At 42.3% G+C, this 22,144-nt stretch overlaps 1 long non-coding RNA gene and 1 pseudogene across 1 annotated transcript in view; one reads left to right on the top strand and one right to left on the bottom strand.

The window, feature by feature from the left end:
- The window catches only part of NIFK-AS1 (NIFK antisense RNA 1), a 78,907-nt gene that overhangs the window by 54,242 nt on the left and 2,521 nt on the right, over window positions 1–22,144 (bottom strand). The gene's annotated exons all lie outside the window — the stretch shown is intronic.
- RPL12P15 (ribosomal protein L12 pseudogene 15) lies at window positions 15,259–15,896 on the top strand (annotated as a pseudogene).

Below are 22,144 nucleotides of genomic sequence, written 5' to 3'. Positions count from 1 at the left end.
TCTTGATTTCATTGCTGACCCAAAGATCATTCATGAGCAGTTTATTAAGTTTCCCTGTATTTGTATAGTTTTGAGGGTTCTTTTTGGAGTTAATTTCCAGTTTTTTTCCAGTATGGTCTGAAAGAGTACTTGATATTACTTCAGTTTTCTTAAATTTACTGAGACATGTTTTGTGGCCCACCATGTTTTATCTTGGAGAATGTTCCATGTGTTGCTAAAAAGAATGTATACTCTGTAGTTGTTAGGTAGAAGTTCTGTAAATATCTGTTGAGACCATTTGTTCTATGGTATAGTTTAAATTCTTTTCCTTCCTTCCTTCCTTCCTTCCTTCCTTCCTTCCCTCCTTCCTTTTGTGACACAGAGTCTCACTCTGTCACCCAGGCTGGAGTGCAGTGGCATGATCTTGGCTCACTGCAACCTCCACCTCTGGGGTCCAAGCGATTTTCCTGCCTCAGCCTCCTGATTAGCTGGGATTACAGGTATGTGCCACCACACCCAGCAAATTTTTGTATTTTTAGTAGGGACGGGGTTTCACCACGTTGGCTAGGCTGGTCTCAAACTCCTGACCTCAGGTGATCTGCCCACTTTGGCTTCCCAAAGTGCTGAGATTACAGGTGTGAGCCACCATGTCCAGCTCCATTGTTTCTTTGTTTACTTTTTGGCTTGATGACTTGTCTAGTGCTGTCACTGGAGTATTGAAGTCCCCAACTACTATTCTTTTATTTTTTTGAAATGGAGTCTCGCTCTGTCTCCCATGTTGGAGGGCAGTGGCACAATCTCAGCTCACTGCAACCTCTGCCTCCTGGGTTCAAGCGATTCTCCTACCTCAGCCTCCTGAGTAGCTGGGAATACAGGCATGTGCTACCACACCCAGCTACTTTTTGTATTTTTAGTAGAGACAGGGTTTTGCCATGTTGGTCAGGCTGGTCTCAAACTCCTGACCTCAGGTGATCCACCTGCTTTGGCCTCCCAAAGTGCTGGGATTACAGTTGTGAGCCATTGCACCCGGCTGTCCCTGACTATTATTGTGTTGCCATCTATCTCATTTCTTAGGTCTAGTAATAATTGTTTTATAAATTTGGGACCTCCAGTGTTAGGTGCATATATATTTAGGATTGTGATATTTTCTTGTTGAAATGATCCTTTTATTATTATATAATGTCCCTCTTTGTCTTTTTTAACTTGTTGCTTTAAAGTCTGTTTTGTCTGATATAAGAATAGCTACTCTTCCTCACTTTTGGTTTCCATTTGCAAGGAATATCTTTTCCCACTCCTTTACATTAAGTTTATGTGAATCCTTATGCATTAGGCCAGTCTCTTGAAGACAGAAGATATGTGGTTGGTAGATTTTTATCCATTCTGCCATTCTGCAATTTTTTTTTTTTTTTTTTTTTTTTGAGACGGAGTCTCGCTCTGTCGCCCAGGCTGGAGTGCAGAGGCACGATCTCGGCTCACTGCAAGCTCCGCCTCCTGGGTTCACACCATTCTCCTTCCTCAGCCTCCTGGTTAGCTGGGACTACAGGTGCCTGCTGCCATGCCTGGCCTATTTTTTTGTATTTTTAGTAGAGACGGGGTTTCACTGTGTTAGCCAGGATGGTCTTGATCTCCTGACCTCGTGATCTGCCTGCCTTAGCCTCCCAAAGTGCTGGGATTACAGGTGTGAGCCACCACACCCAGCCCATTCTGCATCTTTTAAGAGGAGCATTTAGGCCATTTATATTCATTTTATTATTGAGATGTGAGGTACTATTTTATTCTTCATGCTAGTTGTTGCCTGAATACCTTGTTTGTTTTTCATTGTTTTATAGGCCCTGTGAAATGTATGCTTTAAGGAGTTTCTATTTTGGTATATTTTGAAGTTTTGTTTCAAGATTTAGAAATCCTTTTAGCATTTCTTGTAGTGCTGGCTTAGTAGTGACAAATTCTCTCAGCATTTGTTTGTCTGAAAAATAATTTCTCTCTTTTTCATATATGAAGGTTAGTTTTGCTGGATACAGAATTCTTGTCTAGCAATTATTTTGTCTGAAGATGCTAAAGATAGGACCTCAATCACTTCTGGCTTGTAGAGTTTCTGCTGAGAAATCTGCTGTTAATCTGATAGGTTTTCCTTTATAGGTTGTCTGAGGCTTTTGCCTTGCAGCTCTCAAGATTCTTTCCTTTGTTTTGGCTTTAGATAACCTGATGACTGTGTGCCTAGGTGATCTTTTTGCAATGATTTTCCCAGGTGTTCTTTGAGCTTCTTCTATTTGGATGTTTAGATCTCTAGCAAGGCCAGAGAAGTTTTCCTTGATTATTCCCTCAAATAAGTTTTCCAAACTTTTAGATTTCTCTTCTTCCTCAGGAATACCAATTATTTTTAGTTTTGTCTATTTAACATAATCCCCAATTTCTTGGTGGCTTTCTTCATTTTGTAAAATTCCTTTTTCTTTGTCTTTGTCTGATTGGGTTAATTCAAAAGCCTTGTCAAGCTCTGAAGTTTTTTCTTCTACTTGTTCTAGTCTATTGTTGACACTTTCCAGTGCATTTTGTATGTCTCTAAGTGTGTCTTTCATTTCCAGAAGTTGTGATTGTTTCTTTTTTTCTTTTTTTTGAGACAAGAGTTTCACTTTTGTTGCCCAGGCTGGAGTGCAATGGCATGATCTTGGCTCACCACAACCTCTGCCTCCTGGGTTCAAGCGATTCTCCTGCCTCAGCCTCCCAAGTAGCTGGGATTACAGGCATGCACCACCACGCCCAGCTAATTTTGTATTTTTAGTAGAGACAGCATTTCTCCATTTTGGTCAGGCTGGTCACGAACTCCTGACCTCAGGTGATCTGCCCGCCTTGGCCTCCCAAAATGCTGGGATTACAGGCATGAGCCACCACGCCCGGCCCAATTGTTTTTTCTTTATGATATCTATACCTCTGGGGAATTTTTCATCCATGTCCTGTATTTTTTTTTAACTTTTTGTTTTGTTTTGAGAGAGGGTCTTGCTTGTCACCCAGGTTGGTGGGCAGTTGCATGATCTTGGCTCACTGCAACCTCTACCTCCTATGTTCAAGTGATCCTTCCACCTCAGCATCCTGAGTAGCTGGGACCAAAGGGATGTACCACCAAGCCAGGCTAATTTTTGTTTTTGTTTTAGTACAGACAGGGTTTTGCCATGTTGGCCAGGCTGGTCTCAAACTCCTGGCCTCAAGTGACCTGCCTTGGCTTCCCGAAGTGCTCGGATTACAAGCGTGAGCCACCGCACCTGGCTTGATTTTTACATTTCTTTAAGTTGGTTTTCACCTTTCTCTAGTATCTCCTTCAGTAGCTTAATAATCAACCTTCTGACTTCTTTATGTGGCAATTCAGAGATTCCTTCTGGGTTTGGATCCATTGCTAGGAAGCTAGTGTGGTCTTTTGTGGGTGTTATAGAACCTTGTTTTGTCATATTACCTGAATTATGTTTTTGATTTCTTCTTATTGGGTAGACTATTTTAGTGGAAAAATCTGGAACTCAAGGGCTGCTGTTCAGATTCTTTTGTCTCACAGGGTGATCCCGTGATGTGGTGCACTCCCCCTTTCCTTAGGGATGGGGCTTTCTGAGAGCCAGACTGTGGTGATTGTTATTGCTTTTCTGGGTCTAGGCATCCAGTGGGGCTTCCAAGCTCCAGGATCATGCTGGGGAGTGTCTGCAAAGAGTGTTGTGATGTAATCCATCTTCAGGTCTCCCAGCTATGGATACCAGCACCTCCTCTGGGGGAGGTGGCAGGGTAGTGACATAGACTCTATGAGAAGCCTTGGTTGTAGATGTTTAGTGTGCTGGCTTTCTCAAATGCTGGTTATGATAGCAGTGATGTTGCCACATGGACAGGACCTCTGTTTAGCCAGGATGTTGCAGATAGTGGAGTTAGCTGTTTTTTCCTTCCTTGGAGCAGTGTTATTTTGTCATGAGTTGCTGTCATATCTTGAGTTGGTTGGCCTCCAGCCAGGAGGTGGTATGTTCAGGAGAGCACCAGCTGTGATAGTAGAAGGGGGATATAAGCTTGCCCTAAGTTGGTCAGGATAAGTGTTCAGGTTTCTCATGTGATAAGTAGGGCCATAAAGCTCCCAAGAGTTTGTCTTTTGTGACTGGGCACTGGGATGGGTAGGGAAATACCATCAGGTTGGGGCAGGATTAGGCAGGTCTGAGCTCAGACTCTTTTTGCCACAGCCACTGTGGGGGATAGGGGGCTGATTCTCAGGCAAATGGGGTTATGTTCCAGTGTGGATTATGGCGCCTCTGTCACCAGGGAAGTGGGGGAAAGTAAGTAGCCACAGGGCTCACCCAGCTACCACACAGTTGGCAAGGCCAGTTTCACTCCCACTGTGCCCCGCTAACAGCACAGTTTATCTCCAGGCAGCTGGTGTGCAGGACTCAGACCTAGCCCCAGGGTATAAGTTTCCCCACTAAGAAAGCAAGCATGGCTTTCAGGCCTTGCCCCTCCCTGTCTGCCCACACTGTCAGCTGTGGCTCCTATGCTCCTTTCTGCAGCAGTTCACTTTCACCCCCGATTTCTGCTCGACAGAGTTTGCGCCCAGTCAAAATTATTACACAGTTCAGTTGGAAGCTTATTTCACCCTGCGACCCTGCCCAAATTCTGCCAACTGTCTTCCTCAATGGCCTCGGTGAGATACAGTCAGGGATGGCTTCCCTGGCCCAAGCTGGAGAATGGGAGCGCCTACAAGGCTCTTCCTGCTACTATTTCTACTTTTATATTTTATACTAAATCCATTTCAGCTCTAGGCAAGGTTAAATCCTTCTTCCATAATCTGGGTTTTGAGGTTCCCCAGTGGAGATGTGTGTTCAGAGGCAGGTTTCCCCCTTCTCACATGTTGGGAACTCATAGTTTTTCACCCATCTCATGGAATTTGCAGCAGTGTGCTGTGAGGCCGAGGTGGGAGGATCACTTGAGCCCAGCAGTTTGAGACCAGCCTGGGCAACATGGCAAGACCCAGTCTTGGTCTGTACAAAAAATTAAATAATAGCTGGGCATGGTGGCATATGTCTGTAATCCTAGCTATCAGGAGGCTGAGGCAGGAGCATCACTTGAGCCCAGGAGTTTGAAGCTGCAGTGAGCTATTGTTGTGTCAGAGTACTCCAGCCTGGGTGACAGAGCAAGACCCTGTTTCTAAATAAATAGACTATTTTTTAAAGCAGTTTTAGTTTCATGTAGATTTCTACATATGGTGTGAGGCAAGGGGTCTAACTTCATTCTTTTGCATGTAGCTATCCAGTTGTCCTAGAGCCATTTGTTGAAAGGATGTTTGTTTCTCACCGAATTGGCACCCTGGTTGAAAATCAATTCAACACAGATGTATGGGTTTATTTATAAACTCTTAATTCTATTCCATTGGTCAATATGTCTATATGTAGGCCAATACCATGCCGTTTTGATTATTTTGGGTTTGTAGTAAGTTTTGATTATTGTAGCTTTGAAATTAGAAAGTGTGAGTCCTCCAGGAACTTTGTTATTTTTTTTTTCCAAAATAGTTTGGCTTTTCTTGGTCTCTTGCATTTCCATATTAATTGTAGGATTAGTTTGTCAATTTGTACAAAGAAGCTGGCTGGGATTTTGTTTGGTCTTCTTTAACTTCTTTCAACAGTTTTCAGTGTACAAGTCTTGTACTTCTTTTGCTAAATCTATTCCTGTTTTATTCTTTTTGCTGTTATTGTAAGAAGAATTTTCTTTCTTTCTTTCTCTCTCTCTCTCTCTTTCTGTCATGGAGTCTCGCTCTGTTGCCCAGGCTGAAGTGTGTGGTGTGATCTCAGCTCACTGCAACCTCCACCTGCCAGGTTCAAGGGATTCTCATGCCTCAGTCCCCCAAGTAGCTGGGACCACAGGCATGTGCCACCACACCCTGCTAATTTTTGTATTTTAGTAGAGACAAGGTTTCACCATGTTGGCCAGGCTGGTCTCGAACTCCTGGCCGCAAGTTATCTGCCCATCTCAGTTTCCCAAAGTGCTAGGATTACAAGCATGAGCCAGCACGTCCAGCCATTGTAAGGAGAATTGTGTTCTTAACTCCACTTTCAGAGAAAGTGACTTTTTACTTCACTGGAAGCAACTGGAGTCCTCTGCTGGTTGCTGTTGTTCTACTTAATAACACTGAAGGACCACAAGAGGCCCTTTGTGGTCAGGTATCCAAGGCCTGGATGTCTCTCAGGAGACACACATGTGAGTTCTTAGAGGGCCCACAGGTCTCCACAGAGCACAGTTCCTTGATGTGGGACACTGATCTCCAGTTCCAGGATTCCCATTTCCCCACTCAGCTACTGCAACAATGACTGACCCCATAGTCTCCGATATAGTTTTCATGTCCCCCTAAACCTCATGTTAAAATGTGGTCCCCCATGTTAGAGGTGGGGCCTAATGGAAGGTGTTTTGCTCAGTCATGGGGCAGGTGCCTCATGAATGGCTTGGTGCTGTCCTTGTGGTACTGAGTTCTCACTCTATTAGTTCCCAGGAAAGCTGGTCACTAAAAACAGCCTGGAACCTCCTCCCACTTCTTGCCACCCCTCTCACCATATGATCTCTGAATCTGCCAGTTCCCCTTACCCTTCTGCCACTGGTGGAAACAGCCAGAAGCCCTTGCCAGAAGCAGATGCTGGCATCATGCTTTTTTTTTTTTTTTTCCCTGAGATTCTGTCACCCAGGCTGGAGTGCAGTGGCATGATTTTGGTTCAGCAAATTCCACCTCCCAGGTTCAAGCAGTTCTCTTGCCACAGCCTCCTGAGTAGCTGGGACTACAGGCGCACCACCATGCCCGGCTAATTTTTGTATTTTTAGTAGAGACAGGGTTTCACCATGTTGGTCAGGCTGGATCATGCTTCTTATAAGGCCTGCAGAACTGTGAGCCAAATAATCCTCTTTTCTTTATAAATTACACAGCCTCAAGTATTCCTTTATAGCAACACAAAAGGGCTAAGATAACATCCTTCTGGGTTTCCTTCCCCACAGTATTCATACCTCTTGGATGGTATTCAAGAAGGATAGTGCAAATCCATCTAGCTCCCATTGCATCCACTTGACAAATAGGGGCTTTCCAGATATTGAGACTTACCATAAAGATATAGTAGTTAATATGGTATAATAAGGCACAGGAATAATAACCTGACTGATAGAGAGTCCAGGATATATGATGAAAGTGCCATTACCCAACTGTGGGGAAGAAATGTAATATTCAATTAATGGTTTCTAAACAATTGCTTGTCGATGTAGAAAAAAATAAAACTAGCTCCTGACCTCACACTACACACAAGTTAATTCCTGGCACATAAAAGACTTGAAGATTGTAAAAAAATAAAACTTTAAAAAAACTAAAGAAAAATATTGGGGAATATCTTATGACCTTAGAGTGAAAAAATGATGTTTTAAAGAAATAATAAGTATAAATAAAAAATAAAAGATTGATAAATATGTTCATGAAAATATATCATTATAAAAGTGAAAAGTCAAGCTCCAGATTAGGAGAAGATATTGGCAATGCATATAATAAGGATTTACATAATGACTATAGAACATTTTTCAGAATGAACAATAAAAAGTTCAGCAGCTCATCTGAAAAGTGAGCTAGGGAGAAGAGGAGATCCAAATTGTCTGTGAACACATGGAAAGGTACTCAGCCCCACAAGGAATCAGAGAAATTAAAACCAGAAGGCAACAGTATTTTACACTCTTCAGATTCACAAAAAATTAAAACTCTAAAAATACACAGTCCTTGTGTTAGTCTCATAACCTGCTATTTTGAGATCTTCTTGCTAAATTCAAGATTTGCACACACACACTGAGACCTTGTAAATGTTACTAGACAAACTCTTTCACACATGCACCAGTTTTATAAACATGTTTACAGTAGCAACATTAAAATAAAACAGCAAATGAAACAAAGCAAATCAAAAAACTGGAAACTCACTAGATGTCAATCAATAGGAGATTAGCTAAATGTTGAAACATTCATACAATGGAACACCATAAAGCAGTTAAAATGAATTAGCTGGCCTGGTGCAGTGGCTGGGGCCTGTAGTCCCCAGCTACTCAGGAGCCTGAGGCAAGAGGTCACTTGTGTCCAGGAGTTCAAGGCCACATTGTGCTATGATTGTGCCTGTGAACTGCCACTGCATTCCAGCCTGGGTAACATAGCGGGACCTCATCTCCAAAAAATAAAATAAATTAGTTAGAGAAATCCTATTTATCAATAGGATAAATCTCAAAAATGTAGTATTAAGCAAAAAAAAAAATGCAAGTTGTAGACACATATATACAATATGATAGCATTTATGTAGCTTAAAATATGAAAATAATGCTAAACATCACTTAGGGATACATTTACCTATAGGAAAACCACATGAATAGGTATGGAAATATAAGCACCAAATTCAGTGGGGAGGGAAGAAAATGGGGTCTGGTGGGGCTACACAAGGAGTTCATTGTAGTCACTATTCTTTTTTGTGTGCCTATTAAAAGCAAACAAAAACAGAATAACTCCCAGTGTTGTGAGATAGCTCCAAATTCAATTTTCTCTAAACTCTTGTATTCAGTTCTAATTTCAGCCTACTGCTTCCACAGCATGTCTGCTTTCAGCCTGGTGACACAATCGTTTTTAACTTTAACCAGATGACTAAGACTCTTCTTTGTCTTACGGAAGCCAAATACTTCCAGTCAGCAAGTCTACACAGGTATTTCTTGTGACTTTATAATAAATGTTTTCTATTCTAAATATTCCAACCTGTTTGCCTAATTTTCTGTGAAAGGGGTGTTCATACAGAAAACCAAACACCGCATGTTCTCACTCAAAAGTGGGAGGTGAACAATGAGAACACATGGACGCAGAGAGGGGAACATCACACACGGGGGCCTGTCAAGGGATGGGGGGCAACAGGAGGGAGAGCATTAGGACAAATACCTAATGAATGTGGGGCTTAAAACAGGATGGCAGATTGATGGGTGCAGCAAGCCACCATGGCACATGTATACCTATGTAACAAACCTGCATGTTCTGCACATGTATCCCAGATCTTAAAATATAATAAATAAATAAATAAATAAATAACATAAATTTAAAAAGCGGTGTTCATAAGCTCAATATAAAATACCTTTTGGAACATGGGTTCAATGTGAGTTGTCAGATTTGTCGGCCAGCTCTAAGACTACTGAAATGCAGTCAGGATGATCTAGTTCTAGCTCTGAATCTGTCACTAACTACGAGTGTGAGACCTTAGGCAAACTCCTTAACTTCTCTGGCCTTCAGTTTTTCACCGTAAAATAAGGGCAGTGGATTAAATGATCTCTGTTACCTTCTAGATCTAACTTTTCATGATTCTAAGGCAGAATGTGAGGCTCTGCCAAGAAATTCCTTGGCTCTGAAGTTTCTCTCTCGTAACAGTTCCACTAAGCTGGTTGGCTCAGTACTGGTCATCCCCAGGCAACTTTTAGGGATGCTGTTTTCCATGTGCCTAAGTTGAAGATGTGGAGTCCAATTACCCCATCTGCCATTAGACAAATGTCCTGGCGGCTCATCTAGGTATACACTAGTTATAGATTAGCATTGTCTTTGTAACTTACACAGGCAGTTACCTGATAAATCCCTTGAAGTGGGTGATAGTCTCTTTACAATAACATTTTTCTACTTTTCCCCTGTTTTGCACTAATAGTAATCTAATTTGTTTTCTGAGGTATGGTACAAATACTTTTTGTTTATATTGCAATATTATGTTATCAATGGACAAAGAGGGCCCATTGATAAGAAAGGTATGATTTTGCTTTTTGAATTTATATAAATGTAAAATACTAAGTTCAGCGGGAGTAAGAAGTGTCAGCTTCTAGTCAAATCTGTTCATTTCAAGAGGTGGCAACTAACTACCTGTTGCAGTCAGGAATTACAGGTTAAAAGCAACCAACGTTAGTTTAATTCATGTGGTGTTTGAATACGAAATAAAGGAGATGGGCAAGTGGGGAAGTTTAAATATTATGTAGTTAATAGCAGGAAGGATACCTAATCCCCGATGACTCAGAATGCCAATGCAGTGTGGGGGTAATGTAGAGAAATACAGTTCATGAGCGAGGGCAGAGCTGGGGAAGTTAGGTAACTATATTATGAACCAGCAAAGGCAAATTTTGGAAAGTGATAGAATCAAATACATTTGAGGATTAGTTTAGTGACTGTGAACAGACTAATGAGAAACTATGCTCAATATTGTATATACTCTATTTGAAAATTAGAGGAAGCAATAGGAAAACTAGAAAACTTGGCATGAATATAAGTAGATTATCTGAAGAGATGAAAAAAGACTCAAGTTACTGCAAACAGCAAAAGACAAGAGAATTTCACCCGCAATAGGAAACTCTAAATAAATAATACTAGCTTGGAAATATGGCAAATACAAATCTTGAAATACTTTTAAAATGTGTTGATTTTTTTTAAGACAAAGGGTCTCACTATGTTGCCCAGACTGGATTCAAACTGCTAGGCTCAAGCAATCCTCCTGACTCAGTCTTCCGAGAAGTTAGGACCACAGGCACACACTGCCTTCCTGGCAAAATTTGTTGATTTTTTAATGCATCATCTAACTTTTTAAACTGCAGGCTGACAGAGTGACAGACTCCACCTTCGTTTCAAGTACTGCATGATATAACTAACGTGGTAAAAACAAAAATAGAAGAAACACAGTCATGAAATTGCTGTAGTAGCAGTCCAAGATTCCCATGCAGGACAATCAGGCAGTATGCCAAGATCTGCAACAAACAGCAGGAATTATCTTATGCCCAATATAAGTGAACAAATACTGACCAGAATCTGTTGTTTTTACTAAAGCAGAAATAGTAGGGCAGTTTCATTTACACATTGTTTTTTTGAGACAGTCTTGCTCTGTCACCAGTCTGAAGTGCAGTGGCGTGATCTTGGCTCACTGCAACCTCCACCTCCTGGGTTCAAGGGATTGTCCTGCCTCAGCCTCCTGAGTAGCTGGGACTACAGGCGCCCGCCACCATGCCAGCTAATTTTTGTATTTTTAGTAGAGACAGGGTTTCACCATGTTGGCCCGGCTGGTCTCTAACTCCTGACCAAAGGAGATCCACCCATCTCAGCCTCCCGAAGTGCTGGGATTACAGGCGTGAGCCACCACACCCGGCCTCATTTACACATTCTCATCTAGCTAATAAACTCTTTCCTCACTTTGCTGTATGAAAGTGACCTTGAAGTGTGTGTGCAGGTGATGGTCTACAAGTCAAAATATGCCCATTTTTGGAGATATTATCTGTGAAGCTCCATATACCCTTGTTAAAATGGAAAGATTAAGGGGTGCTTGAAACCGTAAGAGTAAATAAACCCTGTCCAAATGAGAACTAGTCTAAATCATTACTGTAGTTCTAAGAGTTTGAAATAGGTCATAATTGTGAGTTGCAATGTTTTGTTTATTTGGTTTAGCTCAAGAATGTTGCCTTCATTCCTCCCCAGCTCTCTTTGACTCACCCACACCTGTTAGGCGCTCCCTTTTATGTTCCTACAGCAGCCTGCACACATCTCCATCACTGTAGTAACTGTATAGTTTAGTAATAGTTGATTTTTTCCTATGAAAAAATGAAACTTCCTTGAGTGTAAAAATTGTGTTTTTTCAGGTATGCATACCCAGAATCAGGTTAATTTTTGGTGAAAGAGAGGTTAACAGACAGCATATAAATGAAAGAAAATTGCCCCTCATTTGGTTTTGAATGCCTCCAAATGGTTCTCTGCATTTGGATGGGTTGATTGAGCCACTGGCACAAGAGTCCATTTGCAAATTGGCATGGACCAGTGTTGCTTGAGAAATCTCCCTGAGGGCAATTCAAAAGAAAATCTCCAAACTAAAACTCTATGTCAGGTTACTTTTTGCTATTTGCCCTTGGTCCTCACTAGGTGTAAGAAGAGTCTTCAAAATGCCTGAGCAGGTACACATTATAACACACTGGGCAACAGTTAATGTTCAAATGGCTATTCAATAATTTGTTTTACATAAACACTGTCCATAGAACTGCCTGTATTTGTCATGCTTCTCACAACAAGAACGCTTTCAAACTGCCTTCCTTACTGAGAAGTGGATTTTATAATATCAATTTTACTAGTCGTGATAACACTGGAAACTAGAACTATCCCCTCCACTAAAGATAAGTAACCTTGGAGCTTGCGACCAGGCTACGTTACTCGTCTGGATCACACAGTGAGTTGACAGCTGTGAGGGCACCCCTTACTCTACCATTCTTCAGTAACTGCTACTACAGTGTTTAAAGACGAGCATAGCAGCAGCATAACACCTTTGCACATGGGGAAACCCATAACAGTGAACCAAACATCTGTATTTTCTCCTACAGTGGGTGGTACTTACCAGGTAAGTCGAGTAATCAGAGTAATTGCTCTCCAGGGAGTGGTTATGAACATGATTTAGCAAACTTGTTTTTAATCTTCTGTTTTCATCATTTACAAAAGACACACCCTGCCTTTGCCCATGTTTCTGTCACACCACTTCTCTAGCAGACACTACCTGTTCCCCAAGTAGCGCAAATCCAGATTCCATATGAGTTATGACACAGATGTTGATAGCATGTATGTGCTACTGTTCTTTCCGAATCTTAATTTCTGTAGGCACAAAATATTTTTTCACTTAACATCTAATCTAGATGATTAAGAAGATTAAGTAAAGCTGACTATCTAATTAGATACATGTAAGTCTTTATTACTAAAGTATTTAGGTTAACTTAGAATGGAAGATGCTGCCAAACTGAATTATAGGAAGAGAAAGAAATCTACTGACCTAAAGTTTAGTGATTCCTCTTTGCTGGGGCATGCAATCAAAAATATGCTATCAAATGCCTTAAGAATAACTTTTAAAATATTATAAAAATATGCCTTAGTTGGGCGTGGTGGTGCACGCCTGTAATCCCAGCTAATTGGGAGGCTGAGACAGGAGAACTGCTTGAAACTGAGAAGTGGAGGTTGCCAAGATCACGCCATTGCACTCCAACCCGGGCAACAAGAAAGAGAGACTCCATTTCAAAAAAAAAAAAAAAAAAGTGCCAGCCAAGTGGCTCACATCTGTAATCTCAGCACTCTGGGAGGCTGAGGTGAGAGGATCCCTTGATCCCAGGAGTTCAAGACCAGCCTGGGCAACATAGCGAGACCTTGTCTCTACTAAAAATAAAAAAAATTTTTTAAAAAATATATATACATATGTGTGTGTGTGTGTATATATATATATATAGAGAGAGAGAGAGAGAGAGAGTGTGTGTGTGTGTGTGTGTGTGTGTGTGTGACAGAGGGTCTCACTCTGTCATCTAGGCAGGAGTGCAGTGGCGGGATCTTGGCTTACTGCAACCTCTGCCTCCCGGGTTCAAGTTATTCTCCTGCCTCAGCCTCCCAAGTAGCTGGGATTACAGGCGCCCATCACCACACCTGGCTAATCCACCTGCCTTGGCCTCCCAAAGTGCTGGGATTACAGGTGTGAGCCACCGTGCCTGGCCAAAAAAATATATGTTTGTAGAATAAAATAAAGAATACAAATGTAAATTTTAAAATGACCAATAATCTTACCACCTAGAAATAATAAATTGCTAATATTTTGGTGTCTTTGCTTCCAGAAAGTTCTTTATGCTCAAGCTGAATTTGCTATACGAACTGACACCTGGGGCAGGCCTATGCCAGTTAGTTGCTGAGTAAAGCATAATCAGAATGCAGATAAAAACAAGTAGCGCTAAAGATATTAACAAAAATAGGGTGGGGGAGGGGGGAGGGATAGCATTAGGAGATATACCTAATGTTAAATAACGAGTTAATGGGTGCAGCACACCAACATGGCACATGTATACATATGTAACAAACCTGCACATTGTGCACATGTATCCTAAAACTTAAAAGTATAAAAAAAAAGATATTAACAAAAATAGCATCCTCAAAACTGTGAGAAAAATCAAGAATAGGCATAAAATCATAAAGCTTACAGGCCTTTAGAGCTACTCATGCAATCTTTTACCCTATGGACAGGACACTGAGAGTGCATGTTGATTAGCTGCAGAGCCAGAACTAGAATCCAGAAAACAACGCTTTTGGCCTTGGCTTCCTGCTCTCCTGATACTTTTCACTTTTTTTGTTTGTTTGTTTTGAGACAGGGTCTCACTATGTCATCCAGGCTAGAGTGGAGTGGCACACTCATGGCTCACTGCAGCCTTGACCTCCTGGGCTCAAGCGATCCTCCCAGCTCAGCCCCACCAAGTAGCTGGGACTACAGGCATGCACCATTGTGCCCGGCTAAATTTTGTATTTTTTGTAGAGATGGGGTCTTGCCATGTGGGCCAGGCTGGTCGTGAACTCCTGGACTCAAGCAATCTGCCCGCCTCGGTCTCCCAAAGTGCTGGGGTTACAGAAGTGAGCCACCATACCTTGCCTCATAATACTTTTAATGGACTCTGTTATATACTTTACTGGATTTAATGACTGATAAATGTTGGCTTTGAAATAAACATTTTTGGTATGAAATGGGAATAATAACACAAGGTCAGCAGTTCCTTTTTAACTCACCCAAATCATCTTTGGGAAAGATTAAGTCCTCTACTTGTTTAGTCAGAGAATGTTAGAATAGCCAAAAGTCCTAGACATTGTATTAGTTTATTCCCCCATTCTACAGATAAGAAAACAGGTGCCAAAGAGGATGCTCAGCTAGTTGGTGGCAGAGTTGGGAGTAGATCCCATCTCCTGACTCCGAGGTTATTTATTTATTTATTTTTGAGATGGAGTCTCGCTCTGTTGCCCAGGCTGGTGTGCAGTGGCACGATACCTCCACCTCCCGGATCCACGCAATTCTCCTGTCTCAGCCTCCTGAGTAGCTGGGACTACAGGCACAAGCCACCATGCCTGTCTAATTTTTGTATTTTTAGTAGAGACAGGATTTCACCATATTGGTAATGCTGGTCTCAAACTCCTGACCTCAGGTGATCCGCCTGCCTGGGCCTCCCAAAGTGCTGGGATTACAGGCCTGAGCCACTGCGCCCAGCCCTGATGCCAAGGTTCTAAGAATAGTATAGAATGTAGTACTCATAATCATCAAAAGTCACCTCCCAAAAGTTCTTATAGTCTGGACTGATTGATGCCCATACTCTGCCTTCTATTGAACTATTTCAATTGTAATAATGAACCTAGGCAGTGGTCATCAATGACTGCCAACTTCACGAAAAGAGATAAAATTGGAAACTATGTGCCTGATAATCGATGTATAAATAGTTTTGCTGCTTTCGGATCTGAGCTCGGAGGAGGCCAAGGTGCAACTTTCTTTGGTAGTCCCGAATCCGGGTTCATCTGACACCAGCCGCCTCCACCATGCTGCCAAAGTTCAACCCCAAAGAGATCAAAGTCGTATACCTGAGGTGCACTGGGGGTGAAGTTGGTGCCACGTCTGCGCTGGCCCCCAGATTGGCCCCCTGGGTCTGTCTCCAAAAAAGGTTGGTGACGACATTGCCAAGACAACGGGTGACTGGAAGGGCCTGAGGATTACAGTGAAAACTGACCATTCAGAACAGACAGGCCCAGATTGAGGTGGTGCCTTCTGCCTCTGCCCTGATCATCAAAGCCCTCGAGGAACCATCAAGACAGAAATAAACAGAAAAACATTAAACACAGTGGGAATATCACTTTTGATGAGATCATCAACATTGCTCAACAGATGTGGCACCAATCTGGAGAGATCCAGAGAACTCTCTGGAAACATTAAAGAGATCCTGGGGACTGCCCAGTCTTTGGGTTGTAATGTTGACAGCCACCACCCTCATGAAATCATAGATGACATCAACAGTGGTGCTGTGGAATGCCCAGCTAGTTAAGAAGCACAAAGGAAAATATTTCAGTAAAGGATCATTTGACAACTGGTGGAAAAAAAAGAAATAGTTTGCCATAAAAAAATCAAACCTAAATCATAATAAAGAACTACCTATCAACTAGCTAGGGGATAGAAGAACATGTTAATGACTTCCAAGAATACAATCAGAAAAATATAGAATGTGAGAAATATACAAGTAATTTCATTTCTTCAATAAATATATATCAAGAAAAAATGAGATGGAAGGAAATCTATATATTACAAGAGACCACAGAGACAAATAAATCGAATATTGTGTATCAGAATTATTTGGCCTGATTTGAACACACTGGAAAAAAACAGTATTATGAGACAGGTACATTAATACTGACCTTACAGAAATAAAGAGAATCAAAAAAGAATACTATGAATAGCTAAATGCCAACAAAATAGATAACTTACATAAAATGGACAAATTCCTAGAATGACATAAACTACTGAAACTGACTTGAGAAGGAATAGAAAGTCTGAATAGACTTATAATAAAGAGATTGAATTAATAAGAAGAAAGAAAGAAAGAAAAACTACCCACAAAAAAAAGCCTAGGCCCAAATGGCTTCACTGGTAAATTCTACCAAACATTTAAAAAATAATCAACGATGGCCAGGTGTGGTGGCTCACGCCTATAATCCCAGCACTTTGGGAGGCTGAGGCAGGTGGATTATGAGGTCAGGAGCTCGAGACCATTCCCTGCCCAACATGGTGAAACCCTGTCTCTACTAAAAATACAAAAAACAAAAATTAGCTGGGCTTGGTGGCAGGTGCCTGTAATCCCAGCTACTCAGGAGGCTGAGGCAGGAGAATCACTTGAACCCAGGAGGCAGAGGCTGCAGTGAGCCAAGATCGCAACACTGCACTCCAGCCTGGGTGACAGAGCAAGAGTCTGTCTCAAAAACAAACAAACAAACAAACAAACACAGAACGCAGGCTGGGCATGGTGGCTCACACCTGTAATCCCAGCACTTTGGGAGGCCGAGGTGGGTGGATCACTTGAGGCCAGGAGTTTGAGACCAGCCTGGCCAACATAACGAAACCCTGTTTCCACTTAAAATAAAAAAAAAATAGCTAGGCATGGTAGCTCACATCTGTAATCCCAGCACTTTGGGGAGGCCAAGGTAGGTGGATCACGAGGTCAGGAGTTCGAGACCAGCCTGTCCAACACGGTGAAACCCCGTCTCTACTAAAAATACAAAAATTAGCCAGGCGTGGCGACACGCACCTGTAATCCCAGCTACTCAGGAGGCTGAGGCAGGAGAATTGCTTGAACCTGGGAGGTGAAGGTTGCAGTGAGCCAAGATCACGCCATTGCACTCCAGCCTAGGAGCCTGAGCAATAGAGTGGGACTCCATCTCAATAAATAAATAAATAAATACATAAAATACAAAAATTAGCTGGGCCTGGTGGCGCACACCTATAGTCCCAGCTACCCGGCAGGCTGAGGCACGAGAATCGCTTGAACTCAGAGGTGGTTGCAGTGAGCCAAGATGGTGCCACTGCACTCTAGCCTGGGTGACAGAGTGAGACTCTGTCTCAAAAAAGAAAAGTAATAATAATGAATGCAAAACTTCACAAATTCTTGAAAAAATAGATGAGGAGGGAACATTTCCCAACTCATTTTATATGGCCAGTATTATCTTGATACCAAAATCAGACATCACAAGAAAATTAGAGACAAATATCTCTTATTTACTTATTTATTTTTTGAGACAGGGTCTCATTCTGTTGCCCAGGCTGGAATGCAGTGGTGCAATTTTGGCACACTGCAGCCTTGACCTCCAGGGCTCAAGTGACCCTTCCGCCTCAGCCTCCCAAGTAGCTGGAACTACAGGCATATATCATCATGCCCAGCTAATGTCTGTATTTTTTGTAGAGACAGGGTTTCAATGTGTTGCCTGGGCTTGTCTTCAACTCCTGAGCTCAAGCAATCCTCCCGTCTTGGCCTTCCAAAGTGTTGGGATTACAGGCATTCATCACCATGCCCTGCCTCAATAGCTCTTATTAACAAAGATGCAAAAGTCTTCAACAAAATACTATCAAATCAATTTCAGTGACATATAAAAAGGATTATACATCATAATCAAGTGAGATTTGCTCTGGGAATTCATAAAAGCAATGTAATGGCCCATATTAACAAAGAATAAAAAACACATGATCTACTGGGTGCAGTGGCTCACACCTGTAATCCCAACACTTTGGGAGGCCAAGGTGAGAGGATCACTTGAGCCCAGTAGTTTGAGACCAGCCTGAGTGACATGGCTAAATCCCGTCTCTACAAAAAAATTAAAAAAATTAGCTAGGCATGGTGGCACATGTCTGTAGTCCTAGCTACTTAGAAGGCTGAGGTGGGAGGATCGCTTGAGCCCAGGAGGTGGAGGCTGCAGTGAGCCAATATTGTGCCAGCCTGCACACACACCAGCCTGGGCAACAGAGCGAGACCTGTCTCAAAAAAAAAAAAAAAAAAAAAGCAAATTGGCCAGGCATGGTGGCTCAGGCCTGTAATCTCAGCACTCTGGGAGGCCAGGGCAGGGGTTCACTTGAGCTGACTTCGAGACGAGTCTGGGCAACATGGTGAAAGCCTGTCTCTACAGAAAACACAAAAATTAGCTAGGCATGGTGGTGCGCGTTTGTTGTCCCAGCTACTCAGGAGGCTGCGATGGGAGGTTGAAGCTGTGGTGAGCTGTAATTGTGCTACTGCATGCTAGCCTGGGTGACAGAGTGAGACCCTGTCTCTCTCTCTCTCACACACACACACACACACACACACACACACACACACAGCAAATCAAAATCAGTCACCCCATTATCAACATCCCTCACCGGAGTGGTTACAATTGATGAACCTACACTGACACATCATTATCACCCTAAGTGCATAGTAATGTTTCTTTTTGGGGTGCTGAAAATGTCCTAAAACAAATTGTAATGGTGGTTGCACAACTTTTGTTTTTTTTTTTGAGACAGGGTCTCACTTTGTTGCCCAGGCTGGAGTGCAGTGGCGCTCACTGCAATGTCTGCCTCCTGGGCTCAAGTAATCCTCCCACCTCAGCCTCCCAGGTAGCTGGGACTACATGCGCACACCACCACGCCTAGCTAATTTTTGTAGAGAAGTGGTTTTGCATGTTGCCCAGGCTGAGCTCGAACTCCTTGGCTCAAATGATCCTCGTCTTGGCTTCCCAATGTGCTGGAATTACAGGCATGTGCTGCCGCGCCCACCCTGCACAACTCTTTGAATGCACTAAAGTTGTTGAATTGTATACTTTAAATGAGTGAATAGTATGGTATATGAATTATATCTCAATAAAGCTGGTAGCAAAAAATTTTATAAGACAGTTGGGTTAATTTGAATAACAGGGTAGTTGATACAAAGGAACAATAGCGGTCTGAAGTTATATTTATTAAAAAAAGAATTCTTTTAGAAATACTAAAAAATTTGTGAAGTAATTTTAAAACCACTGTCTTGACCCCTTGCAGTTATCACTTTTCTACCCGCTATCCTTACAACCAACTCCATACCCAAATTATCTATTCTCCCTCTCTCCAATTCCGTTCCCACTATTCTAAATCCATTCCAATCAGGCTTTTATCCTTACTACTCCACTATCATAAGCAGTGGCCAGTTAGAACCCAGCAATTGACATGGTTGTTCTTCCTTGAGCCATCCTCCCCACCCAGTTCAACTGGGATTCTTTTCCTGGTTTCCTCCTGTTTCAGTGCCTAAGATACCTTTCTCAAACATCTGTCTACACTTTATATGTAGATTATTTCATGGCTTCAAATACTCTCTACATGCTCTCTCCCAAATTTACATCTCCAGTCTGGACATTTCTAAATTCCAGACTCCTACATATCTAACTCTCTTCTTAATATTTTCATGTGGCATTCTAACAGGCATCTCAAATTTAAGCTCCAAAACAGAATTTTTGTTTGTCTTTTTGAGACGGGGTCTCATTCTGTCACCCAGGCTGGAGTGCAGTGGTGCCATTTTGGCTCACTGCAACCTCCACCTCCAGGGCTCAAGTGATCCTCCCAAGCAGCTGAGACTATGGGCATCTGCCACCATACCTGGCTAATTTTTGTAGAGATGGGGTTTTACCATGTTACCCAGGCTGGTTTTGAACTCCTGAGCTCAAGCGATCTGCCTGCCTTGGCCTCCCAAAGTACTGGGATTACAGGTGTGAGCCACCCTGCCTGGCCCAAAATGGAATTTATCTCTTCCCATCCCCAACCTGCTCCTCCATCTTTCCCAGTTCAGTAAATGACAACACCATTCTTCAAAATGCTCAGGCCAAAAATCGTAGTCACCTTGGACTCCCTTCATTTTCTCATATCCTATATAAATTGTCATCAAATCCTGTGTGCCACCCTGAATATATCCAGATACCTCATCCCTCCACTGCTTGCACCTTTTCTATGCCACTTATCTCTCACCTGGAGTATTACAATAGCTTCCTAAGTGGTCCCCCTTGCTCCTCAATAATCTAGTGTCAAACTAGAAGTCAATGTGATTCTTTAAATATATAAGTAGAATTTCACTATTTTTCTACTCAACGATGGCTTCCCATCTCCCTCAGAAAAAGCCAAAGTCCTTACAATGGCCTGTAAGTCCATGCCCAATTTGAATTCCTCTTACCTCTCTGACTTCATTTCCTACTTTTACCCTCCTGTACTCTGCTTCTATCACTCTGGACTGCTTTCTGTTCTCAGAATGTAGTAGGCATCTTTCTGCCTTAATGATTTCTGCACTTGTTATTCCACCCAGAATGTTCCCTGTCCACCCAAGGCACATTTCTTGTTCCTTTGCCTCCTTTAGATCTTTGTACAGTTTGCCTTCTCAGTGGGGCTCCTCTGCCTCTGGTATAAACAAAAACCTCCCTCCCTACTCTCGGCTCACCCTATTCCCCTCTCACTGCTTCACTTTTTCTTGCCAACACTTATCCTACCTGTCTTAGTATATATTTTACTTATTAATATTTTTAGTCTCTGCTATGAGGACAGGGATTTTTCCCTGCTTTGCTAAGTGTTTGGCACAGTATCGGCACACAATATTTTTGAGTGTATGAATGCTATTTATAATGCACTATATTCTCTGCCTCTTTGTTTAACTATCACTAGCTGCATGGGAGTCTGGATATGCATCCCTGAGGAAGATCAGACTGACTGAATAGAAGAATTGTCCACTCACTCTGACTACTGTTATCTATCTCTCTAAGGGAGATGAAAGCATAGCAGCAATTCTGGAGGCTCAGGTTCCAGTCAAAGCTTTGAGACCAATTAGGCATGTGGCATTGGGAAGATAATTTTTCCTCTCTGGCCCTCAATTTCCTCATCTGCCAAAAGGAGATCATTTCCTTAAAAGACCTCACAATATTTTTGAGAATATAAAATCAAAGATGAAATGTTGAGTAGGGAAGGGTATGTCTTATTAATTTCTCTACTACATACAAAGATATATTTACCTGGCATTTTATATTTGTTAAAGGTAATAAACAAACCTAAAAGCAAACCCCAGGGTTCTTTTACGAACCTTGAAAAATGTACTTCTGTTGTGTTGTGCCCTTATACATACCACTAATGTGACAGCAAAGACTCTTGATGTCAGCCTATTCTTTCTCCTGAGAAAAGTCACTCTTACATGTCATTTTTTTCTTTCAGTATCCTCATCCAAACCAATGAATACTCAGTGCTTACTGGAGCCTGGCTCCAATGGCAGTTTTCTTTCCTAATCTCTTGTGCGTACATGTGGTTGGTGAGCCTTTTCTCAGCCCATCTGCAACTCAGAACCTTGATTTTCTTGCCTGTAAATTGGGGTGCACAACAACTGGCTCACATTTATATTAATGGATTCGCGGACCCATCAATAATTTACATAAAGCAGTAGTACAATGCCTGGCACATCTAGAGGCCTCCATAAATGCTTTATAGAAATGGAGTATGTATTCAGCTTCCACTGCCAGAGTTGCTTTCTGAAACAGATCTTTCTAGCTGGGCGTGGTGGCTCCTGCCTGTAATCCCAGCACTTTGGGAGGCTGGATCACGAGGTCAAGAGATCGAGACCATCCTGGCCAACATGGTGAAACCCCGCCTCTACTAAAAATACAACGATTAGCTGGGCGTGGTGGCATGTGCCTGTAGTCCCAGCTACTCAGGAGGCTGAGGAAAGAGAATCGCTTCAACCAGGGAGGCAGAGGTTGCAGTGAGCCGAGATCGCACCACTGCACGCCAGCCTGGGCAACAGAGTGAGACTCTGTCTCGGAAAAAAACCA

This window comes from Homo sapiens, chromosome 2 (genome assembly GCF_000001405.40).
Source record: "Homo sapiens chromosome 2, GRCh38.p14 Primary Assembly".
Classification (NCBI taxonomy): Eukaryota; Metazoa; Chordata; class Mammalia; order Primates; family Hominidae; genus Homo; species Homo sapiens.
Note: the sequence above shows the minus strand (reverse complement) of the source record. Positions and strands in the feature narration are given on the sequence as shown.